Source organism: Homo sapiens, chromosome 3, assembly GCF_000001405.40.
Source record: "Homo sapiens chromosome 3, GRCh38.p14 Primary Assembly".
NCBI lineage: Eukaryota > Metazoa > Chordata > Mammalia > Primates > Hominidae > Homo > Homo sapiens.
Genome location: NC_000003.12, coordinates 141,269,502 through 141,288,850, shown reverse-complemented (window position 1 = coordinate 141,288,850; position 19,349 = coordinate 141,269,502). Strand labels below are relative to the sequence as shown.

The 19,349-nt window shown below is 46.4% G+C and overlaps 1 protein-coding gene across 28 annotated transcripts in view, besides 1 other annotated feature; it reads right to left on the bottom strand.

Annotated features, from left to right (window-relative positions):
- Positions 1 to 19,349, bottom strand: part of PXYLP1 (2-phosphoxylose phosphatase 1) — a 63,100-nt gene that overhangs the window by 6,074 nt on the left and 37,677 nt on the right. For 27 of the 28 annotated variants that reach the window (XM_047449228.1, XM_047449230.1, XM_047449223.1 and 24 more), the window contains 3 exons: positions 10,351 to 10,509; positions 9,347 to 9,473; positions 1,398 to 1,537 (listed from right to left, as the gene is read on the bottom strand). In XM_047449228.1, the coding sequence (XP_047305184.1) occupies positions 1,398 to 1,537; positions 9,347 to 9,473; positions 10,351 to 10,509 (426 nt within the window). Of the gene's footprint in view, positions 1 to 1,397; positions 1,538 to 9,346; positions 9,474 to 10,350; positions 10,510 to 14,227; positions 14,392 to 15,867; positions 15,951 to 19,349 lie in introns of all 28 variants that reach the window. The other variant, XM_024453830.2, reaches the window with a different exon arrangement.
- Positions 14,856 to 15,025: an enhancer, noted in NCBI's record as "experimental_64847 CRE fragment used in MPRA reporter constructs". NCBI's record gives its function as "activates a minimal promoter by MPRAs in K562 erythroleukemia cells, with activity observed for both the introgressed and non-introgressed 3:140992753 variant alleles {active_cell/tissue: K562}" and the evidence as "EXISTENCE:reporter gene assay evidence [ECO:0000049][PMID:34662402]".

Here is a 19,349-nt window from a genome sequence, read left to right as displayed (position 1 = left end):
GATCATGGTTCACTGCAGCCTTGACCTCCCGGGCTCAAGTGGTCCTCCCGCCTCAGCCACCTGAGTAGCTGGGACTACAGGCACATGCCACCACACTTGGCTAATTTTAAAAAATTGTTTGTAGAGATGGGGTTCCACTATGTTGCTCAGACTGCTCTCGAACCCTCAGGCTCAAACGATTATCCTGCCTCAGCCTCCCAAAGTGCTGGGATTACAGGCATGAGGCACCATGCCTGGCTGGTTACATTATATTTAAATTTCACTTCATGATAGTTGAGGGAGATTGCAAAATAGTTAATTGTGTAATCAAAGGGGGTGTTGGATCTGCTAGGATGAAAACCCTCGTTCTAAAGTAATGCATGTGGAACTAATTGCCAAAGGCTTTTGACACAACTCCTTATCCACGGCTAGTCCTCCAGAGGCTTCAGCTTGTTCCACTCTGTCTATCCAATATCATTTCCCCAATAATAATGGCAAAACCTAAGAGGGCCTACTATAGGATGGAGACCTTCCCTCCATCCCTGCTGAAGTCCTAAGATGCTGATGCAAGATGAAGACAGAACATGGCCAATGGGTCTTCCCAATTCACCCATAAAGGCTGGTGACCAGGCAAAGGTCCTCTGAGGTTCCAGATTGAAGAATCAGAAAACTGAAACCTCTTGAAGGACCACCTGTTCCTCTATTCCCAGCAAAGGTGACTCCACAGTTAACTCACCAACCTACCCTGATGGTGAACTGACTGCACATGGTCTGACTAGGGCTGCGGAGGGAAAGCTGTGCTTCTGTGAGAACTCAGCTCAGCCAAACAAACTCCACATGCAGTAGAAATGTGCCATGCATTTTCCTCCCTGAGATCTTGTACATGAAAACCTATTAGAAGTTTTGTTAGAAATATCTGAGAACATGAGATTAGTTAAATAAATGATCAATTGCCCATCCAGAGTGAAAGAATATGGCGCTATCATAAATGATGTAGTGGATAAACAGTTATTCATAGGGAAATATTAACAAAATGTGTTGTTGAGTGGAAAAGTGGGTTATGAAATAGTGTGTTTAGTAAGATGTGTGTGTGTGCATAAGCACAGGAAGAAGGGTTACTCTTAAGGGTCTATTTCTGTGGTGGAATTACGGTTGCTTAAACTTTTTCTTCTTTTTACTTGTCTTTCCTAAATTATTTTCATGAACACGTATTGTTTTTGTAAGAAGGAGAAAGGTTCTATTTAGTTTTGAGAACTCTGATGTTTATTTAGAGGCCCTGGTGACCGAGCTCCTTGCAGAGCCAGTCCTTGCTTACCCCCTCTGAGCTGCACAGCACCCCGCCCAGGAGAACTGCTCGGAAGGTATGCAAGCAGAAGAGCGGGTGGGGGAACCCCTGAGCGCATGGGGGTCACACATACCTGTCTGTGTGAGCTCTCCCATCTCACACAATGGGTGATTTGGGTAAAGAGGCAAGGAGTTCAAGGGGCTTTCGAAAGAGGCTCCGGATCCTTTTGACATGTGACTAATGAAAGCTTCCAGTTTTGGGTGATACGGTTTCCTAGAGAGATGATAGAGAGAGTTAGAGGTCAGAGTGCTCCACAAGAATCCAAACAGTTTCCAGCTTCAGCGAGCCAAATCCCACGTGTATCGCAGCCTTTTGCACCCACAGTAACAGGTACCGGCTCAATCACTTTTCAGTTCCAATTTCATTATTTCTCGACCACTGACACTGACACATGAAATCCCCTCTGTGAGGTTGGCCAGAGTTCCTAACCTCTGCTGAACTCAGTACTGTGGGATTCAGCTTCGCCGTCTATCTTCCGGCTCCCCAACCTGTGCTGCCTTCCGGGCTCGCTCTCCGGGAGGCCGCCAACACCCACCCAGCAGTCACGCCTAGGCTGGGCATCGTCCCACTCTCTCCATTCCCTGCCCCTGCACATGCTGTCTGCTCCCCATGTCTTGCAGATTCTTTCTCCTGGTGCTTCTCCATCCCCTTCTCCTTCATCCTCACAGCTACTACCTAGGTTCTGGCCTCAGGCAGCTTTTGTCTGGCTGGCAATGGGCTCTTTATTGGTCTTCTTGCTGATTAAGCATGCCCCTCTAATAATCTTGCCTTCTCCACCACCAGAAGGATTGATTTAAAAGGTAACTCTGACCAGTCACTGCCCTTCCCTATCACCACCTTCTGGAAGGGGCCACACACAGCCTGTCCCTCTATTCTGGCCTCGCCCTGGTACTCACTGGCCCTCTCTACCCTAATACTGTGCTCTGGCCACGCCAAGCCAAAGGCCTTCTTTCCTCCAACACACAACGCACCTCATTCTTCAACACTTCCACCACTTCCCACGAGCTATCCCTTCCTCCTAGAAAATCTACCCTATCCTTTATCAAGGTCACCCATAATCCTTAATTTTTCTGACCTCTGAAAAATCCCCCTTTAGGAAAATTGTTAACTGAATAAGATAACCAGGATCTCTATACCTCTTTACAATCCACTCCACGTTTTGGACATACAACCTCTCATTTAATATAGGGTAATAATAAATGTCAAAAAAAGTTTATATATGAGATCTGAGAGTATCTATATTTCTGCCACAAAGTATATGTGGTAAATCTTTCTAGTCACTAATATACAATTACCCTGAATAATGAAATGACCTATGAATATAAACATCTTTTCTTTGAATAATGAAGTAGCCTATGAATGTATATACATTTTCCAGCTGAAGAGAAGTGGACAGATAGAGTAGTTCATGCCTAAACTCTATAAGAATCAGCATGAAAAGAAGCAAAGATAAACTGTTCTAATGGCAAACCCCTGCTGTCTGAAGGCCCAGTTAACTTTGAAAGTGCTTTAAAAATGGCTGCCAAAATGGGTTTATTATCTATCAACAACATAAAGCTAAAAAAAAAATCCATCTTTTAAAAATACGTTTTTAAATTAGAGAATACTAATCCAGACATGTAATATAGTCTAATAAATCACCCTGGATAGCTAAAGGGAGTTATGCCTTTCCACAAAAACAGGGTACGTTATTTTGCCTGAGGCTAAAGCACATAAATGTTTGCAAACTGGGAAATAAAATGTCCAGACTGACAATGAGGCTGCCAAGAGTAATCCACATAAACAAAGGCTATCCATCAACAGGAGTCAAATGTTCTGCACCAGGCCATTATTTCAGGTTGGAGCTTTTTTTGAGGATCTGAGAAAGCTTTGCTGCCAATTTTAGAAATGGAATTTCATGACTGGAAGTGTTTGCTGAGGTGACCCAGGTTTTCAGGGCATCTGACTGCTTAATGATATCTAACTGCATTCATTCCAATGTTTTTTATTTTTGTTTTTTTTTGTTGTTGTTGTTGTGTTGTTTGTTTTTGGCATGCAAAGATGAAGATTTGTGGAAGAAAAACTTCATTTAAAGAATAGCTAACAGGCCGGGCATGGTGGCTCATGCCTGTAATCCCAGCATTTTGGGAGGCCGAGGTGGGAGGACTGCTTGGGGCCAGGAGTTTGAGACTGGCCAACATAGTGAGACCATGTCTCTACAAAAAATACAAAAACTAGCCAGGCATGGTGGCGCAGGCCTATAGTCTCAGCCACTCAGGAGGCTAAAGCAGGAGGATCACATGAGTCCAGGAGGTCGAGGCTGCAGTGAGCTGTGATTGTACTACTGTACTCTAGCCTGGGTGACAAAGAGATACCCTGTCTCAAAAAAAAAAAAAAAAAAAAGAAAAAGAAAAAGAAAAAAAACATTTGACAACAAATGGCTGTATCTTTTTAGTGGAAAGCAGACCAGGTAACTCGAGTCCTGGACCTGGATCTGACTACCCAGGCCTTGTCTGCCTGGTCCACTGCTCCATCCCTGGAGCCCAGAGGGTGCTTAGCACATAGCAGATGCTCTAAAAATATATGTGAGTGAATTCAACTGTGAAGTGTCCCATCCTTGGATGTTTCATGAAAATAGCAAGCCTTCCATAATCTGTAGAAATGAATACGATAAGTTCCCATACGGTTTGTTAAAATATTCAGATTTTGATGAAAATATAGTCGGCCCTCCATCTCTTCAGATTCTGCATTGGAAGATTCAACTGTGGATCCAAAAATACTTGGAAAAAACCCAATAAGAAATAACAATACAACAATAAAAATAATACAAATAACAACTATTTACACAGCATTTACATTGTGTTTGGCGTTATAAGTAATCTAGAGATGATGTAAAGTACATGGGAGAATGTGCGCAGGTTCTGTGTAAATACAACACCATTTTACATAAGGGACTTGAGCATCTCAGATTCTGGTATCCAAGGAGGATCCTGGAACCAATCCTCTATGGATGACTGTATTAAAACTAAAGGCTAGTGTGGATGAGACTAGTGTACTAGTCGTACACTAAAATCTATTCTCTTCTTAAGAACTTGGTTAGATCCTATTTCTGAGGTCCTGAAATGAGGTAAAGCCGCATTCGCCAACAGAACGGAAAGATGTATGCCACTTCTGGGTTCAGGCTTTCTGATCATGTGTATGCCCGGTTCACATTATCTTCCTTCCTTCCAGCCATTATTTAGGCATGGCAGCAACCAGGGTTCAACCATGTAGCCATCCCCAGGGGATGGTAGAAACAACAACCTGGAAGAAACCTGGGGCCCTGAATGACCAGGTGGAGCTGACTAGCACAATCTGGAACACACATTTCAGACCTTCACATGAGGAAGAGCTAAACTTCCTTGTTATTTAAGGTAATGCATTCATGAGTCCCTGTGCTACAAAATAAACTTACAAAATAGGTGTACCCTGACTAATGCAGACATAATTATATCCATGAAAATAAATTTTTCTTTAGGAAAAACTCATATTATTGTGGGCTCATTGAAAATCTGCTTTCATAATGAAAACTGAAATAATCAAAAGTGTTACTATCTTAAGCCTTCAAGTCATTCACTTTGGAGTCCTTATCTTCACTTTTATATGCATTATTCACATCTATTTATGCCACAAAGTTTGAGGCTGAACCCCAAGGCTAATCCACACACCCATGAGAACATTTATTGTTTATTTAAAATCTCAGCAATGACTGAGTTCTGCACAGAATGTTAAGGCAAGCAGAAGAGGCAGACGACCAGTGACACTGTTACCAGAAAACACAATCCAAAAGAGCATACATAGCTGGAAACTGGAATCACATTAGATTTTTAAAGTTCATGCCAATTAAAGAATTTATCATCTTACATATTAATAACATGAGATTATGAAAAGATAAGCCCAGTGTACTTTTCTTTGTTTTTAGCTTTCTGGACCTTTTGGTCTTACTTGATGTAATGCATTGCCCTGCTTTCCTTAGCTCTCATAACATTGCTCTCCTGACTTTTCCCCATTTGCAACATCCCTGGCCCCTTTTGAAATCCTTTTTCTCTCTGAGTACCACATGCTGGTGCTTCCCAGGACTCTGGTTTTGGCCCATCCCTCACTCCTCAGGTTCTGTCTGTAATATAAGCCCACAGCTTCAAATGCCATCAACATGCTGAAGATTCTCAACTAAACCTCTTTTTCCCAGCAAGCCAGTGCCCCTGAGCTGCAAAATTATACAGACTAGGCCAGGCAGGGTGGCTCACACCTGTAATCCCAGCACTTTGGGAGGCTGAGGTGGGCTGATCATGAGGTCAAGAGATCAAGACCATCCTGGCCAACATGGTGAAACCCCATCTCTACTAAAAAATAAAAAAAAAAAAAAATACAAAAATTAGCTGGGCATGGTGGCGCGTGCCTGTAGTCCCAGCTACTCGGGAGGCTGAGGCAGGAGAATCGCTTGAACCTGGGAGGCAGAGGTTGCAACGAGCCAAGTTCATGCCATTGCACTCCAGCCTAGTGACAGAGCGAGACTCTGTCTCAAAAAAAAAAAATTATACAGCCTATTACTGACTAGAAACTGTCTCTTGAATGTTTCATGATAGCTCAAATGTAGCACCAATGCCTGTACTAACTTCCCCCCATACCTCCCTTCTGTGTTCTCTAATTCCAGGGAGGGGTACCACCACCAGCCAGACACCCAGTCAGAAACCTGGGCCCCATCGGGCCTGCCTTTCATACCCCTGTCCAACCTGCCACCAAGTCCTATTGATCCCACCTTGTAACCTTCTCTAAGACCCACTCACTCTCTCCATCTCTGCTGCCACTTCTGAGTTTCAGCTGCCATCATTTATTCATTCAACAAACATTTAATCACACCCCACCACTCATATGTCAGTCACTGTCCTAAGCACTTGGAATGCAGCAGCAGTGAACAAAAACAAATAAAAATCTCTGCCCTTAGGGAGGTTATATTCTAGCCTGGGGAAGCAGACAATACACAATGAACACTCTGTGTGTGTGTGTGTGTGTGTGTGTGTGTGTTTGTCTGGGTTAGAAAGTAACAGATGCTGTGGCAAAGAGAAGAGCAGGCTAAGGGGGCTGTGGGAGACCAGGGTGGAAGGAGGAGCACCTTGTCATTTTAACTGGAGTGTTCTGAGTAGGTTTTATTGAGAAGGTGACATTTGAGCAAAGACTTAAAGGAGGTAAGAGGACTGGCCATAAAGCTTTCTGTGGGAAGAGCCTTCTAGAGACAGAAACCAGTTTGTGCAAAGGCCCTGAGGCAGCATACAGTGCCTGAATGTGGAAGGAAGAGCTAGGAGCATTGTGGCTGAAGCGCAGTGAGTGAGCACGAGGAGAGTGGAGGGCAAGGTCAGGCGGGTTAGGGGTGGAGGAAGGGCACTCAGGCCTTGTGGGGCACTTTAAGGATGTGGATTCTGATTCTGAGTGAAGTCTCTCCTCTGGATCACTACCCTAATAATAACACCACTAGCTGCCACCAGCTTCCAATCCATCTTCCACACTATGGCTGTCAGAGACCTTCATCTTTTCATCCCTTTCACTGCCCGGCTCTCTCACTGCCTTCATGCCTGGACATACTCCCTTGCTGGGTATCGAAGCCTCAGATAACCTAGTTCCTACCCAGTTTTCCACTCCACGCTTGAGCCTGTGAAACTAACTTTCTGCTCAAGCCTGTGAAACTAACTTTGAGGGCCCCAATGTGCCAAGCTGTCCACCACCTCACACTGCATGGGTTGGTCTCACCACCCAAGGGGCCATTCAGCACCAGCTTCTGCCTGACTTGCTCCTGCACACCTTTCTGGTCCCTTTCTCTGTGTGGCCTTCCCTGATCTGCCACCCCATGTCCCCTCCCTGCCCCAGGTGGGGTCAGGCTGCCCCTCTTCTGGCTCATGCCCCCAAATATGGCACCCAAACTACTTCCATTTCTACTTCTTGCTCTTCTTCCATTTCTTCCTCTTCTTTCTCTAATGCTGCCACCACTGCTGCCACCTGTGCCAGCTATTCACTGAGGGCTGCCGTGTCCTGGGCACCGGGCCTGTCTCTGTAAATGTGCTGAGCTCCCTGAGGGCAGAGGCAGCCCCAACAAGCGGCCTTTCTTCTTCGACTCCTCAGAAGCCTACTCCCTCCATCACTGCTCCAGCCCAGCCATACCCTGGTCTTATTGTGGCTCACACCTGCCCAGTTCTTTCAGCCTCGGGCCCCCTGCACTTGCTGCTTACTCCATAGGGAACGCTCTGTCCCCGGACCATCACAGGGCTGGCCCCTTCACTTCATGTAGGTGCCTGCTTGTGTACTGCCTTCTGGTACCTGGCACATGATAGAAGCATAAAACTAAAATTTGTGCAATAAATGCTGATCAAAGTGGATGTTTTCTCCTCCTTGGATGTAGAAAAGCATATTTAATTCATATTTATGAATGCAAAAAAGCATTTACTAAATATGGCATATAAATAACTAATAACCTTAATGCTGGCTAAATGTAATACTATGAGGGTTAAAATAGCACCTTCCTTATAAAGCACATGGCATTCACAAAGAGGCAGCTTCTACTACAAAGGCTTTGAGAGTCACAGGGTGTGGCATCGTGGATGGAAACCCTGGGGCAACAAACTTGTGGACCGCCAGCTAGTGCTTGGTTCAGCTCACTGCACCCTGCCTGCTGGCCACAGTATTCCGTTTCACTAGACTAGAATAATGGGCATGCTCCAGGGCACACCACCTTTTAGGAGATCACAACATTAGTAATTTTTAAAGCTGAAGTAGCACCTGGGAAGACAGCAGGTATTGCTCGTGACCCAGATCCCACAGTCCTGGGGGAGTCAGCAGCCTAGAGAGGGTCCCCTTCACCGGGGTTCCTGCTCACTCTTACTCTTAAGTACCTGTTTATAATGATGAGTCAACTATTACTGTTTTTAAAGATTAAATTAATTAAATGACATTAAGTAACTATGCATACTCCACCCTCTTCACACAAAGGATTTAAAGTGGCTTCTAAAAATACAGAATGTTCAATAAAATAAAACTAGGCAAAGGAAAATGAGGGCAGAGGCAGCCAGGCCAACTGGTCCCTAGGAACTGAACCTCTCAAATGGGAGCGCCAAAAATGGCCCCATTAGAGGGTCCTGGCATCACTGTGACAGGGGCCCTGCAAGACGAGCTACAAAGTGTCACTTTTAAAGAACAGCCCTGGCTGTAGTGAGGTAATCCATGGCTCCACCAGGCTCGCCCTCCCGGGGCAGGCTGGCATCCCAGAAGCATTCCATCAAAATAACGTCTTCCCCACTGAGCACTTCATCTCCTGACCTCATTCACTAAACTCTGCTAGAATGTTATGTGCCTCCAGACACATTTGCTGAGGTCTAGCCCAATATTTTATTGCTAACTATGCCTCTAATTTTAGAGCCATGCCATTTCCATACAATTTCCACACTCTGTTCAATTATTTTTCATCCTAAGGGCTTTCAACCAAGAACAGGCTGCCTCTACTCCAGTGAAAAATTAGAAGGGTGAAATAATTCTTACATTTATATGGCTCTGCAATTGCTAACGTGCATTTGTCTGTGTCATCTCACTTACTCTTTGCCCCAACTTTGCATGGGGAGCCTTGTGATCCCCGTTTCAGAGGTAGGAGGCTGAGGCTCAGAGGACACTAAGGGGCTTGCCCGCTGCTCTGAATGGAGCAGGTGAGCTGGGGCGGAGGACTCTTAACTCAGTGCTCACTGTACTGTGTCCCAACTGTTTATTAAAGTGAAAAACATCAGGGTGGGAGGGTGAGCCTCAGACTGGCCTGGGCTCAGTATATCTGCTGTGTTGCTTCAAACAGGTGTCCCCGCCTCTGTGGGCCTCCATCTTTTCAACTGTATAATGGCACTCACATGTAGGACTGCTCTGAGCTCAGGCTCCTGCAAACAGTATGGTTCACCAAGTGTAGGTCCTGTCATTCTCTATCCTACAGGATATAACAGACACTTGAAAATGACTTTTAGAAAAAGTGCAATTTACCTGTTAGCCACCAGAGTGCAGTCAATTTCTGGTCGCTTTGTTTTGGGAATGACATACAGTGGGTACCTGTCTCCGTGGCGAATGAACACATGCACTGAGACCAGCTTAAAATGATGCGGGGCATGACCTGCGCGAGAGAAGCACATTGTCTGGTTATCACTCAATAGGTGTCAATCCTTTTAGAAGGGGGCCAAGGGGATGACCTGGCCACATTTGGGCTGGGAATCTGAGCCGGAGGCAGCAGGGGCCACCGTGGGTTTGCAGAGCCACCACAGTGAAGGGGCCCTGGCTGCCATTCTGGATGGGGGCCACTGAATAGTCTTACAAGGCGGGACAGAGGAACATGAGTAGGCTGATTATGTCCCAGACCTCCTGGAAACAACGGGAGGCTGGTGAAATGCGGGCATGACTACTAATGTGGCCTCACTCACATGCACAGACCAGGGAGAGAGCCACGGAAATACTAGAAACAATGATTTCTGCTTTAAATCTTTCATGAGACCAGAGAAGGCATAAAGAGATCAATAAGGATTCAACACTATGCTCTGATACACTTTTACAAAAGCAAAACTTGTAGAAATTGCCTCACTTCTATGGCAAGACGCCAGCAGGACATCCTGTGGACATCCTGAGTCCCAAGAGGCTACCCTGAAAAGCAGAGTGTCTCAATGTGCTGCACTAGTGCCTGCCAAGGCCACCTTTCTACCTTGCTGCTGTCTCACTAAAGATCATGATGATGGCAAACATTTGTGGTGGGTTGATCGTGAGCCACGTGGTATGTTCAGAGCAGTTACTGAAACCTCCCCAGTCCCAGGCATAAGTCCTGTGAGTTACTCCCATTTTATAGAGGAGAATGCAAGGACCCAGGAACTCATTCAAGGGCACAGCCTGGTGGCAACTGCAGGACTTGGGTCCTGGCCATCTTGCTCCTTACTGCTGTGCAATGCTGCTGGAATAACTAGTCCCCAAAGGGGTATCTGTCCTGGTGGCACAGTCAGGCCTACCTTCCATGCTGCGCTCGGCCACGCTGGGGATGTTGCAGTACAAAAGAGCTTCATAAACGGGGTCTGTCACAGGGGGCTCCGTCACAGGGTCGGGCATGATTCTCTTTCGACTCTTGCTACTCATTCCATTCTTAGGAGTCGACACCGGGATCAGGTGGACTGAAACGAAGTAAGGCAGGTTGTGACGCACAGTTCCTGGGGCGCCAGGCCAGCTGCAAGGCCCAGCGCAGGGCTGGATTTCACTTTGAGGAGCTATTCTTACACTGAGAATCAAGGTGCACTTCAGTGGAGCAGAAGTCAGCTTCCCATTCAAGAAGGGCTTCTGAGCCCCACTGTGTCCTGCCCCTTCGTCACTGCCACTACCCTCTCCTTATCATCTATTCAACACCAGGGGAGCCTCCCAAGCAAAGGGGCCTCTCTCAGGGCAGTTGGAGGAAGAACTCACACACTAACTTCTTAGGACCTGATTACCTCTTCCTAATGCCCTTTAATTCCAGTAACAACAAGAAGGAGGAAAACCATCATTCCTCATTGAAGACCTGCTAGGTGCCAGATGTGGGTGTCTGACATATCCCATTTATCATCATCTGCTTTATGCTTTGTGGGCCTTCAGAGTCGCTCATCTAACCCATGAGAGCACTTTACAGAAGAAAGCCAAGGACCAAGGCATGTGTGGTGGGTGAAAGCCTGTCTCACGCTTACTCCTTGACTTCAGGCCAGCTTCCCTGCCACTGTCTTCGGCGTGGCATGTGTGGGTCTTGCAATCTGTGTGCTTGTCCATCTACTACCCTCATTCCATTAGTGAGCTGACCCTTCACCACCACGTGTGGTCAGGCTGGACTGTCAATCACAGTGTCCCCACCCCCTGGCAGGGGTGGACATGTGACCAGAGTCAATAAGGGTAGTAATGGGGCAACTGGACTCCCTTTCCTCGAGACAGGTGATATACAGACTCTAGAAGAGGTGCTCTTTTTCTTTCGGATGCTAATCTGTAAGAATGGAAATGTGGGGCTGCCCAGCCATCTATCCCTCATGAACAGCTTCTGTCTCAGTGGTCCCTAATCTCTCCGTGCCTAGGGAATGTCTTTGTAGCATCATAGATCCTCTAGAACTCCCAACACAGTATAGTCATACTTTCAGCATCCGCCCTTTGAGGGAAACACATGAAAATAAGTGTGCTCACAGATCTTTTTAACTTCTAAAAGATTTATTAATCACCATAATATCTACACATGCGCACGAACAATAGCTAAAACAGGGACCAACCACCAGCCTAAATCAATGTAAATTCCCTAATTACTTCTACAAATTCTTCTACATAAATATTTAAAACTTCCCTTTGGCAAACAGATGCCATAAACAAAGATAAAAGGCAACACACTGAGAGAAAAATATTTGCAACTAACCTAACAGACAAATGATTAATATCCAAAGTCCATAAGAGACCCTACACCTGAAAAATCATTAAAGGATATGAACAGGCTAATCGCAGAAAAATAAATACCAATGGCCAATAAACACATGAAGAGATGCTTAAGTTTGTTCATAATTAGATACAGATAAAACAACAGTGTGATACTGTTTTTCATAATTGTTTATTCATAATTAAAGAAATATAAATCAAACAGTGGACTATATTAATAATTTTTCCTCATCAAACTGGAAAATCATGTTTTAATGATAACACTCAATATTGGGAAGGGTGTGAGAAACCTGACGCTTCCAAACATCATGGGGAGGGTGGAAACCGGCACCTCTCGGGAGTGTTTGGCAGTAGCCATCAAAATGGTATATGTGCACTACCCCCGATCTCGTTATTCTACGTCTTGGAATCCATTCTGTATCTATAAAGATAGCGATGCCCACGCACAAAAATGTGTGGCCAAAGAGATTCCCTGCAGTGCTGTTTGTAATAACAAAAAAGGGAAATAACCTAAATATCCATCTCTAGCAGAACAGAACGTTATGTCCCTACTGTGGAATGTTCTATCCCAGTTAAAAAGAAGGGAAAAGAATCAAAGATAAATTAAGTGAAGTGAATACACCAAGTCACTGTATACTGATATAATCCTCTTTGTGTAAAGAAAAAAAACAAACCATAAATGCATAAATATACAGGGATTTGTTTATTACGTAAATGCATAGAAAAAATGTCTAGAAGGTTATCCATCATAACACAGCAGTGGTTTTCCTCTGGGAAAGGATGGAATGGGGTGTGAAAAAGTATTTTTACTTGTTTGTATATTCGCACACACATATACGTACAGTCATGAGTTGCGTAACAATGGGGAGGCACTGAGAGATGGCCCTTAGGCAATTTTGTCATAGTGTAAACATCATAGAGTGCACTTACACAAACCTAGATGGTAGAGCTTTCTACACACCTAGGCTATTTGGTCAGCCTGCCGCTCCTAGGCTACAAACCTGAACTGCATGTTACCGCACTGAATGTTGTAAGCAGTTGTAACACAATGGTAAGTACTTGTGTATCTAAACATATCTCGACTTAGAAAGAATACAGTAAAAATATGGTATTATAATATGGCACCACTGTCATATATGTGTTCTGTCGTTGATGGAAGTCATTATGTGGTACATGACTGCATATGTATTTATAGTAAGCACATATTAATGTATTCTATATGTATAGAAATATATATTTCTGTATTTCTATGCTGTCTAGGTAAGCATTTTTTTTTTTTTTACAGTGAACGTATTTCCCTTCATTACTTGTGTTACCAAAACAACAATCACAGAGATACAGAACTGGTGATTCACCCACCCAACATTAGCCCTTTGGTTGCTCCTAGGGCCACTTTCTTTCCAGTAGTTGGAAGGTGCTAGGATGGCTAACACAGCCCAGGTGTTCAGAGGGAATTCACTACAGGGGGATTAGCACAAGAGCACGGAAATATAGAAAAGTGCTAAGGCAGTCTCTTAGTGACCTGGCCCTTCTGGCTGGCTCAGTCCTTGATTCTGCTCTTTTGTGAAATCTACCAAGTCCTGGCCCCTTGGCCATGCCTGTGGGCACACTCCCTTGGAGTCTGGGCCAGGGACAGAAGCAGCTAAGGAGACAGGATAATATGAGTGACACAGAAATGGAGGGGCACAGGTGAGGACAGTGGGTGTCCTAGAGTGCCCACAGTTTGCTAGTTCATCTATAAGCACCCGGGGTGAGGCCTGTTGTGGCTGCCATTTGGGAACCATGGTGGTTGGGTGCAAATGACCCACCCATGACCCAAGGAAGCAGTGGTTTGAAAACCACAGATAAAGATCAGAATGAGACCTTCTCTCCAGAAAGATTTTATCTGCTGCTTCCTCTGGTATCTGGGCCTGTCAACTGTGTCTACTAGTTCAGAGTGTGAGATCACCCTGTACTATTTGTACCTCCCTGAGTCACCAGGACATAGCATCAGTTCACAAGGGGCCTTCCCAATACCAGGCATTCAAAACAGGTCCTGACACATAGAAGCTGTGAGGAGAAGTCTCCCCAGCTCCATCTTGACCCCAATCCCAACTTGGTTCTCACTGTTCTGAGCTGCTCTGAGCCATCCCACCCCACAGGATGTTTCTCGCCTATGCTCCACCGTTTGCTGGCAACTCTACTCTCACCCTCTGCTCCCGAAATCTGACCAACACTGTAACTGATCCTAGGGTCACCTCCTCCAGGAAGCCCGCCCTGAATCCCCAGTTCCCACATCCTCTTCTATGAGCCTACCCAGTTCCTGCTGCCGTCATGGCTCACAGCATAGTATATGCAAGCAGGGGTGTCCCAGTTTGTCACCCTGCCATCCCAAACATCCAGAGGGCTGGGAGTGTGCGTCTTTCACATTTATATCCCCCGCTGACTGACAGAGGATAGGTCTTCCAAAAATACCTGCTGAACTGGGGCAGACGCTGTGCTCCATGCTTTTGATGAAATATCTCATTGACTCCTCATGTGGAGCACTGAGGGTTGCCGAACCAGTCTGGGGTGAGGGGCATCCAAACAGGCTTCCCAGAGGAGACACCTAGCTGGGCCTGAAAAACTGATGAAGCTGGCTGTGTGGAGGGGAAGAGGAGAGGAGCAGAGGGGAGGCCGTGAAACACAGCCAAACATGGCAGATGGGGGTCAGCAAGCTGGCTCAGGATACGCCTTGGGTCCCGTAAGGCCTGGTCAGGTTGGCCTCACCAGGGTCGATGTGCAGGCCGGGCTCCAGGAGGAAGGCTGGGAAGGGGCCTGGAGGAGCAGACCCCGGGCTGCAGGCCGCCTCTGCCCTGGTGCTGTGCTACTCACCACATCAGCTCTTGAGGCTTGCCCCGATCACCTAGATAAAGGGAGCTGAGGGACAGACCCAGGGGCTGGGGGCAGACACTGCTCCAGGACACTGCTCCTCCCAGCAGGCTTTGCCCAGGCCCCCCGTGCCTCTAGCTGTCCTGTGGAACAATTAGAAACTCTGCTGACCTCAGGCAGATGACAGCAGCTCAGATGTCACAGGGCAAGAGAAAGAGGCTGTGGGGGCATCAGAAAGAATAGTGGGCAGATAAATAGATGGAAGGATAACGAGTTTCATTATGTAGGTGGGAAAACCCATGAATCTAAATGAGTGTCCTGGGGCCACTGTGCCACCAGGACCAACACGAATAACAGGATACGAGATATCTTTTACTGATGATTAACTCTGTACCAACGGGCATGCAATTTCTCTGTGGTGTGATTACCAAGTAGGAGGGCAAATTTCCGTAAGCTACCTTTGGAAATAAGCCTCTCTTTTATGGCGGTGTTCTCTGCTCATCTCATCTACGATCACTTTCATCCTGTCCACACATCTATAACCCTCATGTGTAAAGATGCCGACAAGGTCTCAATTTCAAAGAAATGGCAGAGAACATGACCTCTAAAGCATCTCCTTGGGACCCTCCCTCTCAAAAGCAACCAACAAATTTCTTAGAATCATGAGTAAAACAACCAGATGCTATCCCACGCAGGCTCCCTCCCCACCACCCTTCCCCACCCCATCTCCCGAATGCACAGTGGATGACTCTGTATGTATTACTAGTAAACATTCCCATAGCTATAGCTAGGATGCAAGCCAAACTGATCCTCTCTCTGCTTTTCCCAGCTTTGGATCTCAACCTAGGAAGAGTAACCATCAGCCAGACAGTAGACCTTAGGCAGAGGCAGGTCAAGGGAGTTACCTAAGGTCCTGAAGCCTGTAAGCCCGGACCTGCTCACCCACTAAGCTCGGTATTTATGCATTTGTCCATCTGGCCATCCAACATGTATGGAGCACATGCTGGGGATTCTTCAGAGAATAAAATGGACAAGGTCTCTGCCCTCACGGGGTTTACAATCCAGTTGCGGGGGACAGTCAGACATTAAATAAGAAAAGGTGGGGAGAAAGCACATGGACCATAAGGAGAAAATAGCCTTCTCAGGCACGGGGCCCCCTGCACTCACTGGTTGCTGGTTGGGGGGTGCAGGTATGGAAACGATGCAGTGAAGACATGGATATAAAGGAAATATTGGGAAGTTACCAGATGTGATGGTTAATACTGGGTGTCCACTTGATTGGGTTGAAGAACACAAAGTATTGCTCCTTGGTGTGTCTATGAGTGTGCTGCCAAAGGAGATTTACATTTGAGTCAGTGGGCTGGGAAAGGCAGACCCACCCTCAATCTGGGTGGGCACAATCTAATAAGCTGCCAATGCAGCTGGAATATAAGCAGGCAGAAAAAATATGAATAGACAGGCTGGCCTAGCCTCCCAACCTACATCTTTCTCCCATGCTGGATGCGCCCTGCCCTTGAACATCGGATCCAAGTTCCTCAGTTTTGGAACTTGGACTGGCTTTCCTTGCTCCCCAGCCTGCCGACAGCCTATTGTGGGACCTTGTGATCATGTGAGTTAATACTTAATAAACTCCCCTTTATAAATATATATATACGTATATATTCCATTAGTTCTGTCCCTCTAGAGAGCCCAGGAGTGGTCAATAACAGCTTTAAGCAAAACACGACTTAATCAACTAGACTTGGGTTAGTAGCGAACACTAGAAACTTGTTTAGAGAGACATGTTTCATCTAATGATGATTTGCTCATTTTGATTTTTTGTTTATTCCATTGATGGTCCCCATGGAATAGAAAATAAGGAGGGAAAAGGCCAGGGTCAGAGTCAGATCATAACAGCACAGGTTGCTAGGCCACAAACCCCTGTCTAGCCTTTGAACCTCAGGGCACCTTAGTTATCCCTGAAACTCAACAACCATAGGGGCAGCAGATAAAGTTATAACCGAGTATCTGCTGCCACCTCATTATCTGGGAGTTACTCTGACTTGCACAAGGACACACCAGTTTCTTTCCCCTAGGGTGTCAAGCCAACCTCCCTGATATCCAGGTCACCTCCCTATACCAAGGCCCTGGGATAGGGCCAAGGACAGAAATCTACCTGCATATGTGGCCTTCTTCTTGCCTTAGGAAACTGCTGTATGCAAGCTCCTTGCAGGTGCCTTGAAACTGACTTTAATGGAGCACAATGAAGGGCCCCAACCCTGGGTCAGCTCATCTCTCCCCACTTCCTTCTGTGGCGACAGACCCATCCTCCTTTGGGAGCAGCTCCTCTTCTCATGCCAACCCCATGGCCCGGTGGGGGCTGTCATGCTGCTCCTCCAGGACCATGTCTCCGCCTTGCTAACTAGCCCAGGGATGAGGACCTGACTCTAGGCAGCTGTGCTAATAAAGGGACCTTTCCAGGAAAGACAGGCTGTCCCATGTGGAAGACACTTCTGCAGTGGGAGTCAGATGGCTTCCAAACCCCTCCCTCCTGCCATCCCCATGCTTGTGTGATTTGGCTGTCAGCCTTCTTCTGATTACACAGATACCTGGCAGATTACAGTTGGGTATCAGGGACCCAGAGTTTCCCGGGAAATGTGAGCATGATGAGGCTAAAGTGTTGGCTCAGCTCTGTCTCCATTGCTCTGGGATCAGCTGCCACACAAGTCACCCCACTGACTACACCAGCAAAGAACCTCTTGGGGCCAAGGTCCAGCTCCACTATCTGTTTACCTTCCTAGCTCCAGGGTCTGCCTTGCCCTTTTTGGGACTTCAACACTGGGCTAGTCACTTCCTTAGGGGACTACAGTCACTTTTTCCTTGGAACTCCACTGACATCTGTCCTCAGTTGCCCCTGCTACCATGGTTCTGAATGCAGGGAGGTAGCCTGGGGCTGGGGGCTGCAAATGAGCTATAGTATTACAAAGATGTGAATTCATGTCCTGGCTCTGTTACCTCCTAGCTGTGTGACCTGGGGCAAGTATCCCTGCCTCTCTGTGCCTCATTTCCTTCATCTGTCAAATGAAGGTGATGATACCTACAGATCAGGGTGGTAATGATGATGTTGAGATACCACCTGTGAATGGATTCTGGTAAGGAATCAAGAAATACTATTTTCAATGTTTAAAAAGTGAGCAGGATATGGTGGCACATGCCTAGAGTTCCAGCTACTCAGGGGACTGAGGCAGGAGGATCGCTTGAGCTCAGGAGTTCGGGGCTGCAGTGAGCCCTGATCACACTACTGCATTCCAGCCTGGGTGACAGAGTGAGACTCCATCTTATAAATGAATGAATGAATGAATGCTATTTTCTACATCCATCCCCTGGATGTGATTATTCCTGTTTCCTGCAGGCTCTTAAAAGGCGCTCCCTTCAACTTGGGATCTGGAAGGGATATCAAACCCCTGCGTCCACCCCTTCACAAAAGCACAACCAGCCAATCTCCCTTCTCCTCTTGGCCACTCCAATTTTAGCAGCTTTTCTGGCTCCCTTAAATACATTCAGCTTATCTGAGATAGCGTCTCCTCATAAGCTAAAACACCCCCAGTCCTGCCACCTAATTTCTCCAATTTCTCCCCGCAAATAAACCAAAAGGTTCTTGAATTCTCTCTCCTTCACTGGTCTGCCAAGGAATAATGACGCGCTCTGTCAGTTCCCACAATTCCCTTAGTGCTCCTCAACCCACTAAATTATCTTAAATGCCCGCCCTGTCTCTAACCTGTACTGAATTTTAAAAGTGCACTGTAACTGTCAAATGAAAACCAGAACCACAACGAAGAGTCCACAGTTGTTATCTGCCTCTCATCGTCTGCTTTTAAAGGCTGGAGTGGGAATCATGTTATACAGGTGAAATGGGAAAAGTCAAGCCCACATTTGTAGACTTTGAGACACTTGGTTTTACATAAATGAGATTGATCAAACAGTTGAATCTGCTCTTGCCATTTTGATCTATCCACTTTGAGCTGCAATACACCAACCTTTCTTGTTTTCCTCATTCTTAATGTTGCTTCATGGTGAACCACATTAGGTAAGAATTTATTAAGTGCTTCTGATACGCCTGGTAGCATTCAGGGAGCCGGAGAACTCCAGCAGAGTTCAGGGCTGGGCACATCCTATCAGCCTGGAGCTCTGCTCCCTGGGCTATTTGCACGCTCTATCTCCTCCCTCCTTGACCCTTTCCTCTGACATTTGCCTCTGGGACCTAAGTCCACCCATTGCTTGGGCATGGGGGCTCCCCCTGTGGCCTGGGCTTGAGCCCCAGTTGCAGCCTCTCAGAGGAGTCAGGAAACCCCACACTCTTCTGGGAGCTGCTGGTAACTGGCCTTACCCTAACAGGGCCATTGGATTAGATGATGCCAACACCAGACTCCAAATCACCACACACTCAAGACAGAAACTAGAAATAAGAGATTTCCAGGACAGGCCTCCAAAAAGAACCATGAAAAGAACCTGTCTCCTTAACCTTTTTGGGTCATGAAGGTTATGACCCTCATCTTTGAGAACCTGATGAAAACGATTGATCCTCATCTCTGAAAGACGATGCGAACACAGTCTTGTGAATTGGACTTCTGGGGGTTTACAAGACCCCTGAAACCCCATGGGACAATGCAGAAGTCCACAGGTTCAGGCTAAGAACCCAAAGTACCTGGAAACAGGTTTTCAATTTCAACACTCAAGAAGAGATGAA